Below are 27,435 nucleotides of genomic sequence, written 5' to 3'. Positions count from 1 at the left end.
CCCTTTAAATATATTAGTGTATTTCATACTGTCAATAGGTTGATGAGGTAGAAATTATTATCTTAATTTAAGCCTTTGCAGGCTCAGGAGAATTTGGTGACTCTGCATCTTCAGTACAATGCTGAGGGTATCATTGCTCTCCAACTTCCAGTTAAAGGTCTCACACTTCCCAACAGGAGCTTGACTAATTAGTAAGGCCAGTTTCTCGCTGGGTCCCTCTCATATGCACCTTTTGGTTGTTGGAATCAGCTGCATCCTGAGCAGTAAGGATGCTGAGGCCACTGAGGAAAGGAGTATCTTTGCCTGCCCAAGTATCTAAGTGGAAGGTCTTGCCCTCGGGGGTACAAGTGGAAGCAGCACAGCTTAAACTCTCTAATGTGATCAACCGAACGTTTGGTGTCAAAATCCAATTTATGGATACCACCTCCAACTTCAAAGGCAAAAGAGCTTATGGTTGGTTCCTGGTTATTTGTTTAAATATTTAGATGTGTATTGCAAATCTCCTATACCTCTTTTTGCCACTAAATCTCCTGTTATCCCTTTCTCCATCCCTCTGCCATACTTCTTGCTAATGTTATCTTCATTTTCTTACTTCCCACTCACTGTTTAGCCCATGTTAATCTAATTTCAGACATAACTCTACCAGCCCGGTGCTCTCCAAGTTCACTGGTAAACTTCCTAATTGGCTAATTCAGTTGGCCCTTTCCATTGGTATCTTCTGGGCCTTTCTGCAGCATAGACGCTGCTAATCAACCTTCCTGAGTTTCTTACTGTCATTAGCTTCCATCCCACGAGCTCTCTCTGGAATTCACTCTTGGTTCTTATTCCTTCTTCACTTATTTTTAATCTCTTTTTTCTGTGATGACCCCTTAAATGCCAGAGTTTCTTAGGTTGTGTGCCTTGTCCTGCTCACTCTTGTTTCTACCCAGTCTCATAGAGCTACCATGCCGTCTAGAAGTTTCGCTTACCACCCGTCTGCGGCGGCCCTGTAGATGTTTCTTAGTTTCGTTTGGTTTGGGTTTTTGTTTTTTTTTTCCTGAGACAGATTCTCACTCTGTCACCCAGGCTAGAGTGCAGTGGTGCGATCTCAGCTCACAGCAACATCTGCTTCCAGGCTCAAGCGAGTCTCCTGCCTCAGCCTCCCGAGTAGCTGGGAATACAGGTGTGTGCCACCATGTCTGGCTAATTTTTGTATTTTTAATACGGGGGGGGGGGGGGGGGCTTCACCACATTGGCCAGGCTGGTCTTGAACTCCTGACCTGAAGTGATCCACCCGTCTCAGCCTCCCAAAGTGCTGGGATTACAAGCCCAGCCTATAGACGTTTATCTCCTTCACAAACTTTTTCATGTGCTCCAGGTGCCCCTCAAAATGCCCTCAACTTCCATATGTTTCATATTAAACTCCTCATGATTGTCCAAGATCTGTTCCTCCTCCTGTGATCTCACTCTCCATGAGCACAATCCACCCACCCACTTTCCCAAGCCAGACCCTTGGGAGTCGTTCTTAATATCCTTTTTCCCCTCAGTGCCTGGTCTGCTGCCACATACAATCAATTATCAAGTTTTCCATATTTTTTCCTCTTAAATGTGTCTATAATTGGTCCTCTTTTCCACATTATATCTGTCCCCATCATGACTTGAAACCTCATCATTTTTGCCTAAATCAATATGACAACCTTCTAAATGAAACTGGAGCCTCTATCCTCTGTTCACTTCAACTCCATCATTCACACAACATCTAGAGTGATTCAAGCATCTAGATATATTTTGAACACACATTATGTGATAGGCATTTTTTCAGTACCAGAAAAAATATATATACGCACATACATACATATATACATATATGTTATCTTTCTCTATATTTCTTTCTAAATATTTTCTATGTATCAAATATTTTCCATATATATTTCCCTCTAAACATGTATTTTGTATATAGTTAAATGTTTTTCTCTATATTTTTTCTATATATATATAACTGTTTTCTATATATATTTCCTCTCTCTATATATATGTGTGTGTGTGTATATGTATATATTCTCAAGAGAGAAAAATATATATTTTTTTGAGAGAGGGAGAATGTCCCGGTTTCATTGATTTATGTTCTATGGATCTATCTGGAGTGAAAATTTAACCATGCAACACCCTTCTAAGATGTTAGTCAAGGCCTTCCATCCTCTCTTCTCTTCCATGTTCCGCATCTCCCCCATCAATGCTACCTGCTTGACACTTAACTCCAGTTTCCTGAACAAACTGTGGTATTTTATAATACCATGTCTTTTCTCATATTACCTCGCCTTCCTCATCACCTCTTCCCAATGACCCTTTAAGTTTCAGTCCAGTTATCATCTCATTTGAGGAGCTGTTACAGTAACAATGCTATGTGATTATCAAAACTATTATATTTTCCTCTTTCTAGGCACATAAGAAGACTACATTTCCCAGCATCCCTTGCAATTGAGCTCACGTGATTAGCTCTAGCCAAGAGGTGGCAAGCAGAAGATACTTGAGTCTCTTCCTGGTGAAATAGAATGAAAGCACTGAACACAGATGTGAAGTCTCTGTGCTTTTACTTCCGTCACTGTGGTGAATTGGCATCCATATGTTGAAATGACATCACAAGACAGAAACAATTAGGGTCACTGAGTCACTGCAAGAAAGAGAGCTGCCCTGGAGAGTCATCTAGAATCACAGCAATCTTCTGTATATTCAAGAAACAAAGCTTTGTTTGTACTGAGATTGGAGGTTGTTATTGCAGCAGAGTACAGCCTATCCTAACCAATACAGAAAATATAGTAGGCAAAATAAGGGCACCCAAAAAAATGCTCATTTCCTAATCTCCAGGACCTGTAAACAAGTTATATCATATGGCAAAGACAAATCAAAGTTGCAGATGGAATTAAGGTTGCTAATCAGCTAATCTGGAGATGGAGAGATTGTTCTAGATTATCTGAGTAAACCCTATGTAATTACAAAGGATCTTAAAAGCAGAAGAGAGAATCAAAAGAATCAGAAAGATGGCAGTATGAGTGGGACTTGGCCCAATGTTGCTGGCTTTGAAGATGAAGGAATGAGGCCATGAGTCATCGAGTATGGTAGCCTCTATAAGCAGGAAAAGGCAAGGAAATGGTTCTACCCTAGAATGTTCAGAAAGGAATGCACCCTACCAACACCAGTCTTTGCCTGGGTAAGGTATATGTTCCACTCCTAAGCTATAGAACTATAAATAATAAATCTGTGTTGTTTTAAGCCACTAAGTTTGGGATAATTTGTTGCAGCACTAATAGAAGACTAATACAGAGGCATTTGTAGACCTCAGGCTCATTCAAGAATTCTCATCTGTTTCCCCATAATGCTCTAAATATATTTTATTAATGTACTTCCCATATCATATCTTGATTATCTCTGTGTGTATGTGTCATTTTCTTCCCTAGAGTGAAAGTTTTCTTGAGGGCAAGAATTAAGTCTTCTTCACTTTTATATCCTTAGCAATAATCTCAGAGACAATCTCCTTGAACAAATCCATGTGCAATACCATATAAAAAGTGTTGCGGTTGCAATATATGCACAGCGGTATAAGAGCAGAAGGAGAGAATATTCTACCTGGTAGGGAGTAAAGAGGCTTCTTAGAAGAGTTAACAATGGGGCTTGTTGTGAAGCCCACAGAGAACAGAAATCACTGTGAAAAGCCTTCAAGCAGGTGAGGTGGAGACTGAAATGCACTAAAGTGTCATGCTCTGTTCTAAAATGGACAATTGCTACTCAGCCCCTATAGATAATTACTTTGCACAAAGGCACAGTTGACTAATCTACTGCTTTTTCAAGATAGGCTGAGAATCTGGACTCTTATGTGAAATGTAAGAAACAAGGTAAAACACTGTGAAAACACACATGCACACACAAACACATACACACACACAAACCTCGTAAGTTTTTGGGCAAGATTTAGCACAATTCCTAAAATAGATCTCTAGGTGAAGAAAACTGAGAGTGCTATTCTAGGGAGAGGGATCAGAATACACAAAAGGACAATGCTGTAAACGACAAAAGAAGGCATGCTCAGGGAAGAGTTGAGGAACCTCAACTCCTAGTCTCAACTGGCCTAGGCTGCCTGGGGAGAAGCAGAAAGAGCTGAGCCTGGTGAGGTTGGCAGGAGTCCCGAACCACGTGCTGCAGATCTCGAATTTCATCATGTGAGCAGTAGATTTTGGGGTCATGAAAAGGTGTTAAGGAGACAAACAGTAAGATTTGTGTCCTGGAATAATCATTCTGGCAATAGGTGGAGGAGAGAACGAGGTAAGGGACCACATGGAAGTGGAGAATGAGAACAGAATTGTAACATGCATTTTTTTTTAATATGCAGCACCAAGTAATACCTTTCTATGGGAACAGCCCAGAATGCTTGTTCAAAACACCAAAAAACACTGTAATAGTCTTTCCAAGTGAGATGAATTCCAATGCCACACTGGCATCATGGGCCACAGCAAGTCTGCAGCCTAATGCAGGAGCTCATTACTAGGTTTGAAAGAGGGAGAGAAAGAGCAAGAGAGAGGGTGAGGGACAGAGAGAAAATGCGCATATGTGGATGTGTTTGTGTGTCCCACAAACTCACTTTTCAGGCCCAGAGTGTCTCATAATCCTTTTGGATGGGAGTCAGTTTTGGACCATAAATCACAAGGGTCATCATTTCTGTAGGGAGATGTTTGCAATGGGTCTTGGGTTAGAAGGAATGTAAATTTTCTGGAAAAAGATGAATAAGCATTTCTCCTCTGGTTATTCATGTAGAGTGCATGGTCCCTCTCCCTCCTGAAATAAAACAGGACTGTCAACTTCACATGCTTCACTCTAGGTTTCTGGGAAGTGTAACGTATCAGGGCCCAGGGAGATATGCCCCCCAGCTGCCTCTCCCTATATGATCCTTGACAATTGGCTATTCTGAGGCACAGATTGTCGGGCACAGGAGAGCAAATCTGAACCACATAGAGCTCAGTGTGATAGGAGAAAGGACCACTTTAGCCACGTGCCTCTCCAGCCAGGACATCCTGAGGCAGAGGGGATGAATGGGTAGAAAGTGAGAGGTTTCAGACATGAGAAGGCGTAAATGTTCTTAAAGCAGACGTTGGCCTAGGGGCTCCAGACCCAGCTCTGCTATTGCTAGCTGTGAGCCTCCAGGCAAGTTACTTGTCTCTGTGTTCAGAAGTCTTCATACATAAGACAACGAACTGAACTGGTTCAGCTTAGAGATTCATTCCATTGGGAAATCTCTATAATCAATGAACCGACCAACCAGCCAGTCAATCAAACCAATGCACAGTCAGTGAGCACTCCCTGAGAGCTGGGCTCTGGCTGAGTGCTAGAATTGTGCTTGGACATTAAATCCAGGGCCTTACCTCAAAGAGCTTTCACTCCAGTGCCTAAGACAGACCAAGCAATGCCTTACAGTTGTCAAAAGTGGCAACAGACACATGGAAAAGGGAAGGGATTGGAAAAAAGAAGTTATTAACATTGTCTGAAGAGTAGAGAAGGGAAAGCCTGGGAAGACTTTCTCAGGGAGGAAAGATATGAACTGGACTTCGAAGGACTAAGCAGAATGACCAGCATAAACAAAACCTGCAGAGAGAAGAGTGCTGAATGTGTAAAATAAGGGAAGATGCCAGCTGTAGCTCGAGCATTCGAGGGGATGCTCCCCTCCAGGGCTGCCCCTTCCAGCCCCACGTGTCCTCACAGTGTCCACTCAGCTGGGGGAGAGTGCACGGAAGAGGAGGCCATAGGAGCTTTCTATGCTGGATTTGGGGACAGCATGTGAGGCAAAAAGAAGGAGTGAGCATAGAGAGCAAAGCCTCTTCTGGTGTCACTACTGAGGGGAATTTTTTTTTTTTTTAGTTCTTTTTTTTTTTTCTCAGGCAGGGTCTGTCTCTGCCACTTGGGCTAGAGTGCAGTGGCACAATCTCAGCTCACTGCAACCTTCGCCTCCTGGGCCCAAGCCTCCTCCCACCTCAGACTCCCAAGTAGCTGGAACTATAGGCCCGTGCCACCACGCCTGGCTAATTTTTGTATTTTTTGTAGAGATGAGGTTTCACCGTGTTGCCCAGGCTGGTCTCAAACTCCTGAGCTCAAGTGATCCACCTGCCTCTGCCTCCCAAAGTGCTGGTATTACAAGTGTGAGCCACCATGCCTGACCGGTCCTCTCCTTTTTAAAAAATTTATTTAATTTCATCCCATTCATGTCCATGCATATACATACATTTATTTGACTTCATAGGTGCAATTTTTTCTTTTTTGGCTTGGCTCCCCAGTCTCCCCTCTTCTCCCCTCTATCACTGTCTCTCATCTCCACAGTCCCTCCCCGAGAGATAACACATCAACAACCCTATCAGACAGGCTCATTGCAGGAAACAGATGGTGTGGTGCACTCAGACAGCGCTCAAGGAGATTTTAATAAAGAGACAATTTTCAAAGTGAGCGCAGGTTAAGAAAAACTAGCAAAAGATGCTGAAGCCACAGCAAATCGCCCTTTAGACCTGAAGGGCCAAAGATAAAGATTATACAACAGGAAGAGAGTGGTCATATGGAGGCCCCCCCGATCTGGAGCTGTGGACTTCAGTAAAGGAGAGGCAGCTACCCGGTGCCACCGTCACTGGCAGGAAGGAGTAAGAGGAAAACACCCTTTTCCCATGCCCTTCCCTCCTTCTCATCTCCTACTGGTAATTCCATTCATGAAACCAACCAGAAACCAAAAGGTATATTGGGCTGTGAATGCAGCACATAAAGGTCAGGTTCCAGGCACACCACCGGCTGGGGCAGGGCAGGGAGTGAATTTGGGAGGCAAAAAGAAAATATCCAACACAACCTATGTGCATTCTTCTTTGGATTTCTTTAGATACCTGTATATTCATATATATATATATATATATATATATTCATATATGTCATACATCATATTTTTATTGTTGTTTTACAAAAAAAAGCAGCATATTACACATTTGCTTATCTTACTTTTCTCATTCACCAATAGCTCACAGACAACTCCTCCAAGTTATCTTATAAAGCTTCATTCACTCTTTTATATTCTTTTAAATCGCTGCAAAATATCCCCTAAGATGAATGTATGATACGTTATTTGGAAATTACCTTATTTGCCAGTTTTTGTGACACTACAAACAGTGGTTTAAGAGTATATTTAAGAGTACATGTATGTGTATTTTTAGTAAAAAATGTCAGAATGCAAGAATACCATAACTTTTTTTTTCAAGTGCTCAAGAAGAACAGACAAGAGGAGGAACCAAGAGCCTAGCACCTGCACTCATGGTCACCTGCTCTAGGAGGCCACCTCATCCCCCATACTGTCATTGCTCATTATCTAGCACCCGTCGTTCACACCCCCACCCCATCCCAAAGACCATGAACTTTCAGAGGTTACAGATTGTGTCTGACCCATGTATGGGCCTCTGCCATCTAGCATAGAACCTGACATATATTAGGCTTTTGATGTTTATTAAATAAAAGAATAAATAAAGCCAAAGAAGTTGCCCAGAACTTTCTGGTTTTCTACTCTGCCTTCCCAGAGTGGGGAAAGCAGCAGGGACTCAGGACTGAGTCTCTGTGTCAGAACAAACAGCTTGCTTTTTGGTGGGACCTTCTCCATGCTCCACTTCTCAGGTCCTGAACTGGACAGATAAGGTATCAATGGTGAAGAGCCACTCAGACATGGAGGAAGGACATGAACTCACCATACAGCATAGACTAGATGCTTCTCAGATACACAGTGGCTGCCTCATTTACTCTCAGGAGGGGAAAAGAAAAGCAAGACTCTGGCTCTGAAAAACCTTTGGAAAGAAGTCTTAGAACAGAACATATTTCCCAGTAACAAAAAAACAGGCTTTCTCTCAGGGCCATGGACTCAAATCCTTCCGTTTGGGTCCATGGCTCCCTCCCTCCCTCCAGATCACCCCATGTAGAGTAGGCCTGTCGTGTCTGTCCCCTAGTGGGGGTGGTTTTTGGCAAAAGTCATTCTTCTCAGAGTTAATGCTTTCAGAAGAAACAAAAAGAAATGACAAAAGTAACAATGATGTCTCTGCTCTTCCAAAAACACAAACAAAAAAAGTTGTTTTCAGTGTTCCTATTAGTATGTGTTTCCTTTTTTTTTTTTTTTTTTTTTTAGCATTCTGATATTTGTCTTTCTGGTGTCTCCAGAAAACCTGCCTCCATTGTGTTCTTCCAGAAAATGTATTTGTCCTTATCCAAAACTGTCAGCAGATTTCTCAGTAGGGCTGAGTTGTTGCCACTGTGATGCGTGGGACTAAGTGAAAACAGATCTTCGCTAAGGGACTGACTTTTGATGGACTAACTCACAGACTGGGATGTGGCCTCCACCACTCTGTGCCCCTGAGATCCCAAGAAAGACAGAAAAAGAGGAGTGACTGCGTGGAACAGGCAATATTGGCAAACACTGGTCAGAGATGATGCCCTTGTGGAGCCAGGCTGTCTAGTGGGGGTTGGCTTAGTCCCTTTGGGCTGCTATGACAAAAATACCATAAACTGAGTGGCTTATAAATGACAGAAATTCTCACAGTTCTGCAGGTTGGGAAGTCAAGATCAAGGTGCCAGCAGATTTGGGGTCTGGTGAAGGCCTGCTTCCTCGTTTATAGATGGTGCCTTCTCACGAGTGGAAGGGGTGAAAGGGGCAAGAGTGGAAGAGATAACGGAGCTCTCTGGGACCTCTTATAAGATACTAATCTTAGTCATTAAGCCTTTACCTCATGACCTAATCACCTCCAGAAAGCCTCACCTCCTAATACCATCACACTGGGGTTTAGGTGTCAACATATGAATTTTAGGGAATACATTCAGTCTGTAGCAGGGGTGGTACATGTGTTTGAAGGTGTGAGGGTAGGGTGTGCTAAATAGCATGGATGGTTCATCCAAGTGGCTTCAAGCAGAAAAGTCAGAGGAAACATCTGGAATCTGATCAATCAGGGAGACCAGGGGAATAACCGGGGAAGACCAACTTCTAGCCCAGAGTTTCTCAACATCGGCACTTCCACGTTTTGGACTGTAACCTAATCTCAGAATCCCATCACTTTTCCCATATTTTTTTGTTAGAAGGAAATCACCATGTCCAGTCCGTTCTCAAGGAGAGGAATTTACACAAAGCTTGAATACCAGGAAGCGGGGATCACTGCGAGCCATTTCAGAAGCTGCCAACCCCAAGGAATTATCAGAGTACCCTGATCTTCAGAACCATTGCCACCAGGAAAAATAGACTCTTTTGTGTTAATGTGTGGACTATGCAGGCAACTACGCAGACTGGCTGCACAAAGAAGAGTTACAGAGTCTTGTTTCTCCGATGTTATCTGTTTATTCGATAACTGTATTTCGAGGTTTATTCGTACGCCTTCACCCTCCCTGGCTTACCTCCATCATGTAATGATCTGTTTACTCACCTGGCTCTCCTGTTTGGCAGTGTCTCATTCACCTCCATATGCCCAGTGGCCAGCTCAGGCCTTAAAATAGAGTTGGTGCTCAGGGTCTGCTGTAAATGAAACTCAATGTACATTTGCCATCTATTGTTCCAGTAAGGAGATGGAACTACCACTTTTCCCATTGGACACAACTTTTTTTAATAAGAAAATTTCCTACTAGAAATAGTGGTATTGGACATCAGCTGGGTGGGGTTCAAACAGAGGAAGGAACTGAACCCTAAGTTGGACACACTTGGCTCAGCCCTTTCTGAATAGAACAAAGAGAATATAAATCCCTGAAGATGAATGCCTCCATTACTGGGATAACCTCTACTCCTAATGGTGTAAAAAGAATATTAAGTGGTCTTGTTTTGTTTTACTTTGCGTTTTTGGAGGAAGTTCTTCTACCCTTGGAGTTTTAAGTAATGCTAGAAAACAATCTCTGTGAAGAATGAGTTTTCCCCATTGCAGTAGATACTTGCACTGACCACCTCAGCCTTCATTTTCACCATTTTCATAAATGAAGAGGTTGGAGACCCAATTTGATGCATTCATTTGTTGAAAAAAAGAAGTAAGGCAGAGGCCATCGCCTTGACTTCTGGTTGTCACTACTGCTTGGAAAAGTTGTGTTTTTCTTGCAGCACACTGCACTGTTCATTTTCCAGGGTCCTGTGTACAGACAAACAGTGGTGGTAGTGCCGGCTTCCTGATCTGACTTCCTGATCCATGAATTACAGCTTGGAGTATCCATCCTCCTGCTCCCTGCTGTCCAGGGGTTGCAATGGTGGTGTCTTCCATTCAAAATCTACCCAGTGCTAGTGGCACACTCAGAAGTAGTAGCTCCCCTGGTAGGTCAGTTCTGTATTTCTTGGAAAGCACCCAAGAAGCCTGTCCTATTCAGCCTTTACAACTATTTTATAAGCATGCAGTTATCAATATTAAACTCTATCCTGCTTAAAATTCCCAGAGTGTTTTCTCTTTCCCTCATTAAAACTTATTGCTATGTATTTAGTCATCTGAAGTCCAGCATTTTAAAGCCTTCTCTCTTGAACTCAAAGCCATTAACTTGCCACTGTCTCTTACTTACACATATATTTAAAGAATGCTAAGAAGTGCAGAGTTTCAGTTGACAGACCAGCACCATTGCTAACTTACTTTCTTGGGGCCTGACTGCCTGATTTGTGAATAATTCTCTTTTGGGCATTCGTACACTTCTACCAGGTTTTCTGTGCCTGAAAGGCAGGGTAGAGATTGTGATGGACTCCAAACTTTAGGGCCATCTCCAACATATGTTTCTGCTGATGTACAAGCATCCTGGAGAACCTGATCTCATACCCCAGGGGGTCCATCAGCCACTCTGTTCTGCCCATGCAGAGAACTGTGTGTAGCTCCACTCTCGGTGTAGGAAGGCATATTGGTTCATTCTTGCCCTGCTATAAAGAAATACCTGAGCCTGGGTAATTTAAAAAGAAAAGAGGTTTAATTGGCTCATGGTCCTGCAGGCATGCAGGATACATGATGCTAGCATTTTCTCAGCTTCTAGGGAAGCCTCAGGAAACTTACAATCATGGAAGAAGGTGAAGGGGAAGCCAGCACCTCACATGGCCAGAGTAGGAGAAAGAAAGAGATGGGGGAGATGCTGCACACTTTTAAACCACCAGATCTTGTGAGAACTCACTCACGGTCATGAGAACAGCACCAAACGGATGGTGCTAAAACATTCATGAAGGATCCACTCCCAAGATCCAATCACATCCCACTAGGCCCAACCTCCAGCACTGGGGATTACAATTCAGCATGAGATTTGGGTGGGGCACAGATCAAAACCACACCAGAAGGAATCTGTCCTGATTAGAGAAAGCAGCTAAATCAATCAGAGCGCACAATCCAATCTCCATTTTTACTGGAAAACAAAGTGTGTCCCAAGTTTCTCGTTGGAAAATACTAAGAATGGACATAAAATTGGGTTATTCTAGGGAGTCAGCAACTCCTAGAGAAAGAACCAGGCAAACCTAAGTTTCAGGCCAGACTCTACCACCTAGAAGAAATGCAACCTCCTGTATGTCCTTCAACCTCTGAGCTCATTTACTCCTTTACAAAATGGAGCTACTACTCTGCTGAGGTAGTGAAAAAATCAAATAAAATAATCTTTCTGACTCCTAGAATCATACCCTCTTTCTGTCAAATCCATCCTGGAAGAATGTAACCCATCATCAGCCTGGATTTTTATAACATGTAAGAATTGGAAAGGACCGGCATGATGCCTTGGCAGAGTTGCCAGGCAATAAATATGTATTAAACTAATGAATTAATCATCAAAAAATGTAATTTAATAATTGTACAACCCCCTGTGAAACTCAAAGTCTTGGGGCAACTCGCCAAAATCGTGTGACTACTTGGTGACAGGACCAGGGATCAACATATAAGCCTCGATTTCCAATCAGTATTTCCTGCTCTGACTCATACTTTATAAAGCCGTAACATTTTCCAAAATGATTTGTAGGCAAAATAGCACTGATTTATGAAAAGTAAATCATAAATTACACTCAAATACTAATTTCTCGGCATCTGAGACCCATTTTACATGGAGCAGGAATTCAGATTTCCTATTGAAAATCACTTCAGGGACCAAGGATTACGGAGCTTATTTCCCAAAAGCACATGTTCCCCCAACTTTAAATAAGATGCTGAGAATGAAGCAAAGGGGAAAACACTGGATGCTGGAATGTGGGGGGCGGGGTGGGGGGAGAAAAGGCCTTTTGTGGTGAGTACTCTAATAGTTCTTTAGAAACTGTCTCCTTTCGGGAAGTGAGAAGAGTCAATCTGAGATCTGGACAAGGACATCCTTAGCGATAGAAAAATATTATGAGTCGGCAACCTGAACTGCCATGATTCACAGCAGAAAGTCCCATTGAAAGCAGCTCTGCAAACACTCTAAAGGAGAAACTGCCAGGTTCAGAGAGGGGGCAACTTTAGAGAAAACTGCCATTGATTTAAGTGAAAACAGTCCAGAACTTTAGGAATAATAGAATCATTGGACTGGCTTATTTCTCTGGTCTGTACTTCATAGAGATCTTCTCCCCGCAACTCCCACGGCAGATTCTCCCTGTGGATGAATTAGGCTGAGTGAGGAGAACAGGATTCTTGCCCATAATTTTTTCAACATATCTAGTTAATTTATCTGTTGATACCACTGTATTATGGCAGTTAAAACACTGCAACACTAGAACAAGCTGGAACAGACTTCATGCATTCATAAAAGCCATGTGAAGACCACATGCAGGAGGCGGTGGGAGAACCGGTCCAGATAAGAAAATGGATGTGAATATTTGCAATTCTTTGCTTAAAGCTGAACACTGAGTGCTTTGGCTGCAGAATCATAAACATTGCAATGGAATTTGGGAATTATCACCTTGTAGAAGCCTTGAGATGGAGATGGCTCAGACAGGTGAATGGCCAAAGCAAATGGGATAAACATCATTTTGTGTTCCTGCTAGGAGGACCCCCATTGACGGAGAGGACATTTGTCACATTCCTCAGCTCTGATTCTACCCATTTTGAATCCATGTTCCTCTAGATCTTTTAGGGAGAAATCAGAGACATTTAGTCACCCTCTGGCTAAAAACCTGAATTTCTCATTTTCTTAGCAGGTAACCTGGATGGATGTCACAAGGCATGGTTTGAAGCTGGAATCAGTGAGTTCCTAGGTTTGTGAGCTTGGGTACAAATCTAAACCTCTCTTCAGATTCCTCATCTGCAAAATGATTGTAATAATCACTCACAGACTTCAAGGAGAGAATGCAGAAATGTTTCTACAACTCAATAGGGAAGCTGTGAATCACAGCTCAGATTCTTCAAACTTGTGTAATATATAAACTTTTTCATATGGAAAAAAAACCTCATAGAACCCTAGAAAGTGACCTCAGACGTGAGACACAGTCTCCATCCACTTCAGGATCTGCAAACTGAAACAAGGACTATCTTGTTTTATGCATTTAAAATAAGTCTTTCCATTTCAAATTATTAACCAACATTTTTAAAAGTAGTTGTTAATGTATAATAGGCAAAATGAGATTAAAGATTGTTATCAAAATAAAAATGTAAATTTTTGAAACTTTGTAACATGTGGCTCTCTGAGAATGGATCATGATAATCCTTGTTTGAGAAACACCGACATAGCAATTAAGAACTGAGATGCAGAAATCAGGATTTTAATCCTGGATTTGCTGTTTACTAGCTGTGTGGTTTGGGGCAGGGAATGTAATCTCTCTAAAGCCTCAACTTCCCATTTTAGATTACCAGGTCCAAGAGTACTGATTAAAGGTGAGAAAACCTCCTGGAATTATATTCTGTGAACAAAATCATGAGAGGAAGAAATTCTAGTCCAGGGGTCTTATAGCAGAAGGTCAGATCTAGCTGTGCAAGCTCCAACAAAGCCCTGGCCCTCACTGAGCCTCAGTTTCCTCTTGGAGAAAATCAAGTGGTAATCTCTGACAAGCTTATCTACCTTGCAGAGCTGCCAGGAGGTCAAAGTGTTTATGCGAAGAAGCCTGCTATGCAAACAGGGAAGCACCACGCAGCCTTGACCACTGCAGCCTTGAACAAAACTTCTCCTGGAAACAGGGGTGCTTAACACTGCTCAAGGCTTAGAAACCACCATTCGTATCTCGCAAATAGAATCCATCTTGAGGTTAGAGTTCTGGTTTATGATCCTCTGTTTCTGGTGCCAGAAATGAGCTCAGCTGAAAGTGCCATTTAACTACCCAGTGCTGGGGTGGGTTTGCTATCAAGGTCCTTTTTATCAGTCAGCTGGCTGTGAAAAGCCAGATACATACTTAAATACACCCATTACCCAGAAGGCCCAGGGGTTCTGCTTCCCAAGGCTCTGGCAAAGCCCACCCTTCTCTGGACGAGGGCAAAATGCTGACAAAGCCGTGAATGAATTCTCTTCTCCCTCCATGGCCGCCGTGCAAACCACTGCACAAAGAAGAAATAAAAGAGAAGCAAGGACAGCCCTAAGTGGTTTACTTGTTCCTTCTCTAACCTTCTTCCACTTACCTTATCATTTTCCACCCCATCACAGAGTCACATGTGACGAGGAATTAGGGCCCATCCAATAGAGCCCAAAGCAGTCTGTTTCCAATGTTCCAGAAATGATCAGGGTACACATTTGATGGATAGTCACCAAATATTTAAGCCCATGCTAGCTAAGGTATTTTCCTATAGGCCAGGAGCTGGGCTGGGGCTTTTTTTGTTTGTTTGTTTTGGGGTTTTTTGAGCTGGGCCGGGGCTTTTGTTTTTTTGTTTTTTTGTTTTGTTTGAGACAGGGTCTCCCTCTGGTTGCCCTGGTTGGAGTGCAGTGGTGCCATCTCGGCCCATTGCAGCCTTGACCTCCTGGGCTCAGCAGATCCTCCCACCTCAGCTTCCCAAGTAGCTGGGACTATTGACACACACCACTGTGCCTGGCTAATTATTTGTATTTTTAGTGGAGACGGGGTTTCGCTATTTTGCCCAGGCTGGCCTCGAACTCCTGGACTCAAGCAATCTGCCTGCTTTGACCTTCCAGAGTGCTAGGATTACAGGGGTGAGCCACCACAGCTGGCCTGGGCTGGGGCTTTGATGCAACATTATGCCTATTTCATCTTTACAATCATCATGAAATATTAGAATTATTATTCCCATTTCACAGCCAAGGAGTAGAGGAGAAACTGATACTCTTGCATAGGCCCTCCCAAATATCACTGTCTGGGTCTACATCCTCTGTTCTGGCTTTTATCACTGTGACTGTGGCTACTCAGAGGGTCCCTAGATAGTGGAAGGATTTTCTTATCCCAGCATCACCCCCAAACAACTGTGTGTCCTTGAACTCTTGCCTTAGCTCTGAGCCACAATTTCCTCCTGTTTAACTTCTGCCTGCATTTAATGTGGTTATGGGCCTTAACTGAGATAATATATATGTAGTCTCTGTATCCCATCAGGCACTGAACACCTGGGAAGATTGTCACTAAAGTCATAGTAAACATGGTAAGCTCTCCACTCAGACTCTAAGTCACAGTATGAAAGAGGCAGGCACCCCACTGATGATGGGGTAGAACTGATGGGATGCCCAGTGGGTGACCAGTTTCAGGATTCCAGCCTGACCACATCCACTGGCCTAACAGAGGACAAATTTGAGTCCAGAATGTAATAATGGTCCACCAAGGTCACATGAGCCATGATGTAGGGTTCATGCATCTCTCCAGCTGGTGTACCTTCTAACCTGTGGGACTCGGGTGCTAGCTCTTTGAATCTCAGTCTCTTTTTACCTACTAAAATAGGGCGAGTAATTGCTACCTTACAGGGCTGTTGTAAAGATTAAGTAGAAGAAAGCATGCGAACACACTGGCACAGTGCCCAGCATGTTGGGGAAGTTCCATGGGTGTTTGTTCCTTCATGTATTGGTCCTGAAAGCTTGGTTAGGTTTGCACACATTCATGCAGCTGCTGTTCACAAAGCAGGATTTCACAAGGGCATAGAACAAGTAGGGCTTCCCTTCCCATGTGTAGATCTGTGGGAATGCTTTCATCATCAGAAATGCTGCTGAAAAGAACCTCCTAAGAAAAGTCTTAAGAGAACAGTCACCAGAGTGTCTGACCCCAGAAGTGTAAGACACCTAGGAACACTGCCTACTTTAACAAACTGCTTAAACACCAGATCAGGCTATGATCCATAACCAAGTTTCAGATGAATGGTGTCTTGGTGCATTTGGGCTGTTATAACAAAATACCTTAGACTAAGTAGCTTACTTATAAAAAATAGAAATTTATTTCCCAGAGTTCTGAAGGCTGGGAAGTTCAAGATCAGTGTGGCAGCATGGGCAGGTTCTGATGAGGGCCCACTTTCTGAGTCATAGGTGGTAGCTTCTCATTTTGTCCTCATGTGGTGGAAGAGACAAATGAGCTCACATTGGCTACTTCTACAAGGGCATTAATCCCATTCATGAGTGCTCCACCCTCATGATCTGATCACCCCCTAAAGGCCCCACCTTTTATTACTATTGCCGTGGGATTTAAGATTTCAACATATGAATTTAGGAGGGCCAAAAACATTCAGACCACTGCAGATGGTTAAGCAACAGCACTTTCAAAAGGGAATTTTGCCATTGCCAGGAGCTGCTACCTTGATGCAGACCCAGGTCTCACCGTCTGGCCCAGCGGCTACCAATTGTCCCTTGTCCCAGGCGCAGAACAGACAGCCAGCCAGCGAGACAAATTGACTGACCTGAGGAGGTAATGCCATCATTAAGTCCAGGGAGAGATCCTCCTGAGGAGGTTTGGGGAAGCCATATTTGCATCTCTGCTCTTACTCTTCTCGATTTCCAGCCAAATTTTATGAGTTCAGAGGGCAGGCCAAACTTCACAGCATGTGAAGAACACAATTGTACTTCCTGATCCTCAGAATGAAGATTGTGACTGTGATTCCAAGTTTCACAAGTTGCTCTTAGTACTCTGAATTTGGTTCACTCACATGTTTGAACACAAACTTAGGGGGTAAAAATAAACATGCCAGAGGATCTCAGGAGATTAATAACATACTGTAGAAGAGATAAAAATAAATAAATAAATAACCACAGCAAGAGATAAAGAGGAGGTGGCATTTGAGATGAAGCATTGAAAAGTGGGTAAAATTTGGAAATATAGAAATAGAAGGGAAGTATACTCTAGGACAATGAAACAACATTAACAAAAACATGGAGGCAGAACACTCAAAAGATTTTAAAGAGTAAGGAGTCTTGATGTATATGGACTGTGAAGCATGTCCTATGTATAGACAACCTTGCTGTACCCTTGTCCATGTAAGACAGCCCATTTATGGCAGAGGATCAGTGAGAACCAGAGTCTGGCAGACACTTCCAGTGCTCACCCATATTTAGCTTGCTTTTTCTTCTGGGCACAAGAAAGGACTCTATTTCCCCACCACTCCTGTAGCTAGGCAGCATCGTCTAATTCTAACCAATGCATTGTGTGCAGAAATGGTAAATGTTAATTCCTGGCCAAAGCAATTGCCAAATCGTAATCTCCAGGACCTCTTCTCCTGTCGTTTCAACTGAACAGGTTGTATTTTCCAAATAGTTTAGCTCCAGGACAGAGGAAGCTGCTCACACATGGACCACTGAATCACTACTTGGAGAGCCAGTGGCTTTGAAAGTCTCCTAGATCTTCAGTAAACTTTTTGCAAGCAAGACATAAACCTCTGGTGTTAAGCCATTAAGGAATGTTTGTTATGGCCACATAACCTAGTTTATCCTGACTAATATAAAGAGTTTCTAAAAAGTGCCCATGAGTCTTATGAAGACCATACTGGACCCACTATGTTTACTTGTTCCTCAGAGAATACAAATCTTAAGCATCATTATGACCAGAGAAAGATACAACTATCCCACTTGTACCAGGCCTCTGGTATACATAGATACCTTCCTAGTTCTAGGCAGATTCTGTTCAAGATAGCAACACTACCAAGGGCTTTGTGGCTTCATTTTAAAGCAATGATGAAAGAAGATATTGTTGACAATCTCTAAAGCTACACTGAGATTTGAATAACTCGAACGATGACCTCATAGCAGCTTTGCATGGTAATAATTACTAGTAAATTACTGAGATTCCAACATGTTAGTGGACATCTTTCAACCTTGGCCTTACACTAATCCTGCAACATCTGGATTATTATCTCCAATTTGCATATAAGAAAACAGGCCAGAGAAGAGATACGACTTGCTTAAGTTCACCTAAGTCATTTAGAGGAGAGTTACGAGTCAAACCCAGATATATCTGACACCAAACCCAAGCTCTTTTTACGAAGCTAATCTGTCTCTTAAAGCTCACAAGAAGGATAGGTAAAAATAGAATCTTACCTAGAATTGTTCATCTTTACTCTAACAAGAAAAATAAAAAATAAAAGAAGTGTTGCAGGGACAGATAGTGCTTGCTAAATCTTCATTTCCTCCTCTGCATTACCCAATTTCTCCAGCAAATAGTCTGAGGCCATATAGCTAGTTTTGGCCAATGAACTAAGAGCAGAAATGACATTTGTTCTTTGCAGGTTGAGGTAGTTAAAAGTCAGTGTGTTTCTTCTGTCTTCTTTGCCTCCGCTTACCTGACATGACACATAATCCAGTTGGCACATCTATAGGACAGAAGAGGACCTCTGGACCGTCCTGATATTGTATGTGAGAAATAAGTCCCATTATATTAAGCCAGGTGCAACTGTCTTTTAGAGACCTATATTATTGTTGTTGCTGTTTTTTACTTACTGGACTAGAGGTTAACAGAACACAATTAATCTTAACGGTTCATTACATATTTTGATCCTTAGTTTTTGCACGACTCACTTTTACTTATTTTAGTAGCCATTTAGTTATTTTTTTAAATGTATGCATTCACATTTAAAACCACCTCTAACAACTAAAATTAGAACTTCCATAATAACCATCTAACTCCATGGTTCCTCTACAAACTCTTTCTCCTCTCTTCTCTCACACAGAGTAACCATCACCCTAAATCCTATATTCTTCATTCCCTTGATTCTCTTAGTATATGGTTTTATTGTATCTATGTGTATTCCTAAAAAGTATGTGTACTTATTAGATTTTGTTTCTAAACTTATAAAAGTAGTGTCATGTCATAATTATTTGAAATCTAATTATATTTAATATTACATTACTAAGACGTATCACTTTATTTATTTTGACTTGTATACATTAAACTTTATTCCTTTTCTTTTCTTAGACATGTCCTGATGAATCTCCTTTCCAAGTCTTAAGTAAATTTATTTAGTTGCCTATACACTTACTATCAGAGGAGCAAAATCTAGAAATACTGCAGGCAAATATGAAGTGGCACAGGACTGACATTTAGACTGGCTTGTGAATGCAAGCTTTATTCTTTCTGAGACTGAATTTGGGGCACAGTTTCCTCCACTACAAAATTGCCACATTTATGCTATCCTTACTGGACTATGGCAAGGATTCAACAAAACAGAGAATGAACAAAGCATTTTATGAATTCTAATATGTCCCATAAACACTATTATGAGTAAGAAGACTCTTTCAATCTGCTTTTTAAAGCACGCGCGCGCACACACACACACACACACACACACTCTGTTCCCTTTTGCAACTAAAATCAACAAATTCAAGCTTATATCCATATTTCTGTTCTGGCTGCCCCATGAGCAATCATCACCAGAATAACTAGCAAATTGGAATCATCCCTCTTCTCTGCCAGATGTCTCCCCCCTCTTCTTGCTCTTTGGCAATTCAGATGATATTCATTATCCATCTTCGAACAAACTGCAGGTGAAGAAGATTTGGAGCTGGATGTCTTTTACTTGACACACTCACTTTTTTTCCCAGTGTGTATGCGTGTAGATGGGATATTGTTTGCATGAGCCATGGTTTTGCTCCGTACAGGATGACTTCCTGCCATAAGTTCTTCTTACAACAGTTGAAAGATAAAGGGCTTTGGAGACAACCAACCTGGGTTTTTATCCAACAGTGGCAGTTACAGGTTTATCTCAAAAGAGGTGCATACATTCTTTGAGTCTCTGTTCTCCCATCTGCAAAACGTATTTATAAAAATTAAATCAGATAATGCAAGTTGAGTGCTAAGAACTGGCCCTGAAGAAAAGTAGATGCTCATCTAAGTGCTAGTTTTCTTGATTATTATTGTTACTACTGTTTTGATGGAAAGTCTCCCTCTGTCGTCCAGGCTGGAGTGCAGTGGCACAATTTTGGCTCACTGCAACCTCTGCCTCCTGGGCTCAAGTGATCCTCCCACCTCAGCCCAAGTAGTTGGGACTACAGGTGCATGCCAGTACCCCTGGCTAATTTTTGTTTGTTTGTTTGTTTGTTTTTTTGTAGAGGCTAGGTTTCGGCATTTTGCCCACGCTGGTCTCCAACTCCTGAGCTCAAACAATCCTTCTGCCTTGGCCTCCCAAAGTACTGGGATTACTACAGAGAGGCGTGAGCCACCACACCCAGCCTAGTTTTCTTTTTTATTTCCATTTCCTTGGTAGTCAGTTTTCTTAGAGACATTTTGGTATAGGAGCAGTGTTACAGTATGATTTAAAATACCTGAGAGAAATTACATGACTTAGCAAAACAATATGATACAATGGCAGAATCCACATCAGAAGAAAAATCACTTCAGATCTAAGAAAGGTTTTGGCTCACTAGATGTTTGTGTTGGCAGAAGTAGAAACGGACAATTTCTTTCCTGTTCCTAGAGCAGAAGCACACAGGGGACTGACACTGCATCTCCTGGATAGTCAAGCTTGGTCAGTGATATCCAGTAGGCAAGACCTTGGTGGAGAGAACACCTTACCAAGTCAACATTCGTGATACTCCAGGAAAAGAAGTCAGCTTCAGATTAAAAGGAGACACTTGTTTTTGTTTGTTTGTTTTTTGGGACACAGTCTCACTCTGTGGCCCAGGCTGGAGTGCAATAGCGTGATCTTGGCTCAATGCAACTTCCACCTCCTGGGTTCAAGCAATTATCCTGCCTCAGGGTCCTGAGTAGCTAGGATTACAGGTGTGCACCACCACACCCAGCAAATGTGTGTGTGTGTGTTTTTAGTAGCGATGGCCATGTTGGCCAGGCTGGTCTCGAACTCCTGACCTCAGGTGATCTGCCCATCTTGACCTCCCAAAGTGCTGGGATTACAGGTGTGAGCCACCACACCTGGCCAAAAGAGGACACATTTTTAAATGCAGGAAAGGAGATGCTACAAGAGAAGGTAGCTCAGATAGAAGGAAGATTGCTTCAGGCTGGGAATGGTGGCTCATGCCTGTAATCCCAGCTCTTTGGGAGGCTAAGGCAGGGGGATCACTTGAGGTCAGGAGTTTGAGACCAGCCTGGCCAACATGGCAAAACCCTGTCTCTACTAAAACACAAAAGTTAGCTGGGCATGGTGGTGTGCACCTGTAATCTCAGCTACTCAGGAGGCTGAGGCATGAGAATCACTTAAACCTGGGAGGCGGAGGTTGCAGTGAACAGAAGAGAACTGCCAAAGATGAGAGAACAGATTAGATGGGTGGGGCCCATGCAAGGATGGCTTGAGCTTCTGAATTCTAAGCCAGGATCTGTGCCACCAGTCTGTAGAGTGACCCAGGTGAGTTTCAAACAGTGGCTTAGGGGAAAGAAAAGTAGGTCAGTAGGTGGGGTTCTTTCAGTCATGGGAAAAAATCGGGCTATAGCTACACAATGTCCAATATGGTAGCACTAGCCACCTGTGGTTATTTTCATTAAAAGTAATTGAAATGTAGAAATTAAAACCTCAGTTCTTCAGTCACACGAGCCACACCTCAAGTGCTCAGTAGCCATGTGTGCTAATGGCCACCATATTGGACAGCACAGACAGAGAATATTCCACTCATCCCAGAAAGTTCTATTAGAGAGAATAGAGCATCAACAAGCCCAGGGCACAAGCCTGAAGCAGGTGCTGGATGCAAATAGTGTCAGCACTGAAAAGGAGCACCTGAGGCAATGCAGCTGTTACCTGAAGCTGCCCTAGCCAAGCCACATTGGGTCATGTGTAGACCCCATAAGGAAAGTCTGTGTGTTAAACAGAAAAGTGAAGGAAGGAGATGCAGATATTATACTTTCACCTCTGCAACAAGCCACCAAGCAGTCCATCCCCAGAGCATCAGTCACCCAAAGGAGATACTTTGTTTCAGTGCTTCACCCATAACTTTCAGAGGAGAACTTTGGCCTCCCCAGCGGGTCAATGTTGGAAGCTGCAGAATAATGGTGGATCTTCCAGCTATGAATGTTTTAGATCTCCACTACATATTCACATTCACCTGGGCATTTTTCTTAGTCATTGCTTGTAGTGAGAGAAACAGTCTTAATATTTTTTGTTCTTGTTACTGATGAGACCAACATCTTAGGGTGCCTGTGTACCAGAATTACTCCCAGCCTAATTCCTGGTCTACATGAAGAGAAATGACAACTCAGCCTTGTAAATAATTTTCCACAGCAATGCTACCCCAGGAGCATTTCTACATAGTTGTCATTACTACCAAATACCTATTCTCCCTTCAGAGCCATCCACAATTTTTCAGCTGTGGGATGGCAGAGCTTGAAAGGGCTTTAAGACTAATTTGGTCAGAACACTTCATTTTCAAAGGGGTAAATCTGGGAACTGGATTTACCAGCCAGTAAGGCCAGAGTTAGATGCCAGGTCTAAGTCCCTTATTAATCTCTTACAGTGCTGATGTTAGAAGAACACAAATATCTACTTGGAGATTCTCCTTCTCATCTTCAAAACTAGATTAGAATGAAAGCCAAAGATAGAAGAGGTGAGAATAGCTAGAGCTCACGGGCCACCCAAACTCAGCACCCTCAATTGAACTGGCCAAAAGCTGCTTTTTCAGTCCAACTGAACAAGCTTCCAGGGGGTTCCTTCTGCATGTGCTGAGGATACAGGATAAACTAGATGCAGTTGCTGCCTGTGAGGATCTTAAAATCCGGTAAAAATAGAAATATACAAGTGCCTCTCTCCTCCCCTTACCTGGCACACATACAAGACTCTGTTTTGATTATGGATATTTATGGGCCAGCAAGAATCTGAGAAAACATTTTTCCATTTTGCATTAGGGTTTGACATCAGACTGCAAGACTAGGGTGAGAGGCCTCCAGGCAGAGTAAAAAGGAGATTTCAGTTCTTGGCAGTTCTGCACTGTTCAGCCTTGTCAGTTACTTCACTTCCAGGGTTGTTGGATTTAGCAAATGCAAATACACAGCCCAGTTAAATTCAAACTTTTCAGATAAATAGTGAAACTTTTTTTATATAAGTATGTCCCAAATATTCTACGGAACATACTTATACAAAAAAATTATGTTTTGTTTATCTGAAATTCAAAGTTAACTTTATGTCCTGCTTTTTTTTTTTTTTTTTTTTTTTTTGGAGACAGAGTCTCACTGTGCTGCCCAGACTGCAGTGCAGTGGCATGATCTCAGCTCACTGCAACCTTTGCTTCCTGGGTTCAAGTGATTCTCCTGCCTCAGCCTCCTGAGTAGCTGGGATTACAGGCACATGCCACCTCGCATGGCTAATTTTCGGTATTTTTACTAGAGATGGGGTTTCACCATGTTGGCCAGGCTAGTTTTGAACTCCTGACCTCAGGTGATCCGTCCACCTCAGCCTTCCAAAGTGCTGGGATTACAGGCATGAGCCACCATGCCCAGCCTGTGTCCTGCATTTTTTACCTGGCAATCCTATTCAATTTCTCTTAGTCTGTTTATTTACCTGTAAAATGGGGATATGAAAACCCTTGCCTGTATAATGAGAATTAAATTAGCTAGGGTATGGGAAACCCTGGCATATAGCACATAATTAATATATAATAGCCCTCTCACTTTTCTAATGATTCACAACATACATCAAATAGGAAAATGAACATGGACAAATGGCTTTCTGGGAACTAGATCAGCCAGGTTTGTAAGAGAAAACAGAAATCCTTTGGCCCAGCTCCTTCACCTACGTGGGGCTCTCCAGTAAAATCTGGAGTGTGCGCATAGAAATGAATGCCAAGGTATATACTGACTGCCTAGAGTAGTATATGAGGGTCTAGATATGAACATGGAGGTGAGACTGCTGTACCAAAAAGAATAGTACTTAAATCGTTGCCTTAAGCCTCTGCTGTGAAAAATCAACCCCCTGGCAACTTGGTGACACCAAAAGATCAGAAACGAAGGGACGAAGAAATGATAAACAGGGCAAAGATGGGAAATAAAATGGTAGGTCCTGGAGACTACTATTCCTACAGAGATAGGCAGTGAACCAAGGGAAGGAGATCTGGTCTGAAGGGAGTATATCTGGGTTGTGCCCTTCTCAAACTCTGCCACAAAAACTTTGATCAGCAAAACTCACAAAGAAGTTTGGGTTCATGCCCATCTTGAGAGATGGATAAGTGTTGTAGAGAGAGCTGGAGCTGCAGAGGAGGGAGAGGTGCTGTCCTTCCTGCCCCTGAGGGACTTTGGTTCTGTGAGCTCATACCATGATGGCAGAATGTGCACAAGTCAGTGTCACAGCTTATACTGAGTTACCAGGCAAAACAAAAGGCCACACTCCTATGTTTCAGATGCGGCCCACCAGTTAACATTTTGGAAAGTGGGAGTTGTATTTTATCAGGTCTGTGTTGTCTTCTTGGGGTCGTGTTCTTTTTACAATAGGTATTGATGTATCTTTCTCGAGTACCCAAGGTCATATACTACATAAAGGCACAATGCCAGCTGGAATAAAATTCTGAGATATGATCAATTCAATCTCTACCTGAAAAACATCAGGCTGGTGGTCACATTTTTGTCTTGAAATCCATTCTGTAATAGTAAGCAGAATTAAAGAAAAGAAGTAGGTGGGAGACATGGAAGAAGGGCTCCTGTTCCCATTTCTGAAAAGCTGCCACTGGAACAAACCTAAAGTTGTAAGAATCATGACTTAAGGCTGCACTTCTCGAAACGTGATCTGAAGACCCCTAAGGTCCCCAAGACCCTTTTTGGGGTTCCATGAGGTCAAAATAATTTTATAACAATACCTGGGAATTATTTACCTTTTTAAACTCTCCATGGGTATTTACCTTTTTAAACTTCCATGGGTGTACAGAGGTTTCTTGAGATTACATGCCACACCTGCAACGATCTAAAAAGGCTACTAAAATACTCCCCACTTTTCCCACTTTATATCATGTAAGAACCCCGTTGTCTTCTATTAAGCTAGGTATTAAAGAGAGCTGCAAAAATGCAAAGCCATCATTCCCACCAAATATTTTTAAGACTCCACTGTTATTTTTTATAAAAGTTTTTATTTATGTTAACATACAATGAACTTATTAATTTTATTCTTAACTGAATTAATATTTTTCTAGATTTCTTAGTTTTAATTTCTAATCAGGTAAATATCAGTAACTATATATCCACAAAAAAACAGAGATGTTTGGGGGCCTCAAGGTTTTTAAGAGTATAAAGGAGTTCAGGGACTAATAAGCTTGATAATCCCTAGTTTAGGGGAAATAAAAAAGTGCATGTAATTTATAAAGAAAATTGGATTGATCTTACCGAGTTGCAGAATGCATTTGTTGGAATTGTTCTGGGTGAACAGGAGGGATGAAAATAAGACTTGTATGTGAAAGATCAACATGTGGATTTCAGCCCAGTAAGAACTTTCCAGTGGTCAGAGCTAAGCAAAGACAAGAGGGATGTTTTTTAACAAGGAGTGAGCTTCCTATCCCTGAAAGTATGTAAGCAGAGTCTGGCAAACCATCTGGCAGAGATGTTGCAGAGAGGAAGCTAAATGGCAAAGAAAGCTGGCATAGGGGTAGGACAGAATGTCTAAAGGGCTTTAAAGATTCCTTACAACCTAATATCTAGGTAAGGAAAGACCTAAACTGATTTTTATAGACGTCAAAAGCCAAGCTTTGTTGGCCCAGTACTAACCAGAGAGTGGCTCCCTTGTCAATACACGGCACTAAAAAGAATGATTCTCACAAGCTGCCTTGTAATAACCCCTCGCGTTTGCAGAGGGCTTTGCAGATGGCAAAATTCTTCATTTGCTTTATTTAATGTGATTCTCTCAACTGCCCCATGAGTTAGATCACAGAGGAGGCTCCAAGAGGCAATGTGTGAATTGTCCAAAAGACACAGCTGGTAAGTGACAGATCCTCCTGGCATCAAGCACTGGTATTCTTTCCAGTGTACCTCAGCTGCCTCCATACTGGCCCAGCTCTGACATCTCTCACTCCTCATGTGGCGTATGTGTAATGGAACTGTTTACCTCGCTTGGCTCTTGCCAAGGTACCTAATGCAATGCTGTTGGTCATGTAGAGGAGTCTCTTACCCCAGCCCTACCACCACCCTAGTAAATTCCTTCCTAGGGAAACACTGGACTTTTGAGAAGCCTGAACTGTTCAACTCTCCCCAGGCATGCTAATGAGTTGTTTTAAGCAGTGTGTGAGTTTCATGTTCAGGAAACCCAGGAGCTCAATGATCATAGCTCAAGTGTACGGAAAGCGAGGTGCCACCCATCTCTCTGCAGACTGCTCTCTACTCACATGTTACCACCTCTTCTGAGTGGCACTTCCACGTGCCTGCAGCCATGCCTCCTTGGGCAGAGATCCCATCAGATTTTACAAGCCACGCAGGGTCAGGCTTGGTGAAAACGTGAATGGGAATGCCCAGAACAATAAAGGCAGCAGGCGGTTTTCCTTGGGAGACGGGGGAGAGCCAAGCCACGTGCTGGCAGCGACGGGGCACCCATGGGGAAGCCACGAGCAGGACAGTAGCTGACACCAGTAACTGGGACTAACTGGGACAGACCTATTGGGATTAGCCCACAGCTTATAAAGACAATTTTTGAAGAAATACTTTGGTTCTGATGACTTTCAAATAGCTCCAGACTGGATTACCAGGATGTGATCCAAGCGAGTAGTAACCATTCTAGAGCAGGGTGCATACAGTTTTTCTGTAAAGGACCAGATAGTAAATATTTTAGGCTTTGCGGGCGCAGTGGTCTTTGTTGCAACTACTCAACTCTGCCACTGTTGGATGAAAGCAGCAGTCAGCAATATGTTAATGAATGAGCCCAGCTGCTTTCCAGTGAGATTTTATTTATAGATACTGAAATTTGAATTTTATATAATTTTTACATGCCACAAAATAGTATTCTCTATTTTTTTTAACTATTTAAAATTATAAAAACCATTCTTAGCTCATAGGTTGCAGAAAAACAGATGAGCTAGGTTTGGCCTGTGGGCTGTAGTTTCTCAGCCTCTGTTTTGTGGCAATGGTTCTCAAACTATAAGTGGTCCTCTTTACTACGGTAAATGGGCCATTGTTTAAAAAATATTTTTAAGCTTTCTCTGTTAAATACTTCTGCAAATTTATATCAAAATTGATCACTATAAAAGGGGAAAAAAGAAAAACAAAAGCTATAAAATGTA

The 27,435-nt window shown here is 42.4% G+C and overlaps 1 pseudogene, besides 6 other annotated features; it reads left to right on the top strand.

The window, feature by feature from the left end:
- Window positions 4,786–4,930: an enhancer, noted in NCBI's record as "145 bp 9:110702983 sequence used in MPRA reporter constructs". NCBI's record gives its function as "activates a minimal TATA-containing promoter with rs1888618 allelic activity by MPRAs in C283T melanocytes {active_cell/tissue: C283T}" and the evidence as "EXISTENCE:reporter gene assay evidence [ECO:0000049][PMID:36423637]".
- Window positions 4,786–5,024: a biological region, named in NCBI's record as "melanoma risk locus-associated MPRA allelic enhancers 9:110702889 and 9:110702983".
- Window position 4,858: a transcriptional cis regulatory region, noted in NCBI's record as "rs1888618 or 9:110702983 MPRA-significant variant associated with a GWAS melanoma risk locus at 9q31.2". NCBI's record gives its function as "allelic transcriptional activity by MPRAs in C283T melanocytes {active_cell/tissue: C283T}" and the evidence as "EXISTENCE:reporter gene assay evidence [ECO:0000049][PMID:36423637]".
- Window positions 4,880–5,024: an enhancer, noted in NCBI's record as "145 bp 9:110702889 sequence used in MPRA reporter constructs". NCBI's record gives its function as "activates a minimal TATA-containing promoter with rs12380282 allelic activity by MPRAs in C283T melanocytes {active_cell/tissue: C283T}" and the evidence as "EXISTENCE:reporter gene assay evidence [ECO:0000049][PMID:36423637]".
- Window position 4,952: a transcriptional cis regulatory region, noted in NCBI's record as "rs12380282 or 9:110702889 MPRA-significant variant associated with a GWAS melanoma risk locus at 9q31.2". NCBI's record gives its function as "allelic transcriptional activity by MPRAs in C283T melanocytes {active_cell/tissue: C283T}" and the evidence as "EXISTENCE:reporter gene assay evidence [ECO:0000049][PMID:36423637]".
- Window positions 11,283–11,452: an enhancer, noted in NCBI's record as "experimental_104396 CRE fragment used in MPRA reporter constructs". NCBI's record gives its function as "activates a minimal promoter by MPRAs in K562 erythroleukemia cells, with activity observed for both the introgressed and non-introgressed 9:110696474 variant alleles {active_cell/tissue: K562}" and the evidence as "EXISTENCE:reporter gene assay evidence [ECO:0000049][PMID:34662402]".
- Window positions 26,582–26,694, top strand: RNA5SP293 (RNA, 5S ribosomal pseudogene 293; annotated as a pseudogene).

This window comes from Homo sapiens, chromosome 9, assembly GCF_000001405.40.
Source record: "Homo sapiens chromosome 9, GRCh38.p14 Primary Assembly".
Classification (NCBI taxonomy): domain Eukaryota; kingdom Metazoa; phylum Chordata; class Mammalia; order Primates; family Hominidae; genus Homo; species Homo sapiens.
This window is presented reverse-complemented; position numbering and strand designations above follow the sequence as displayed.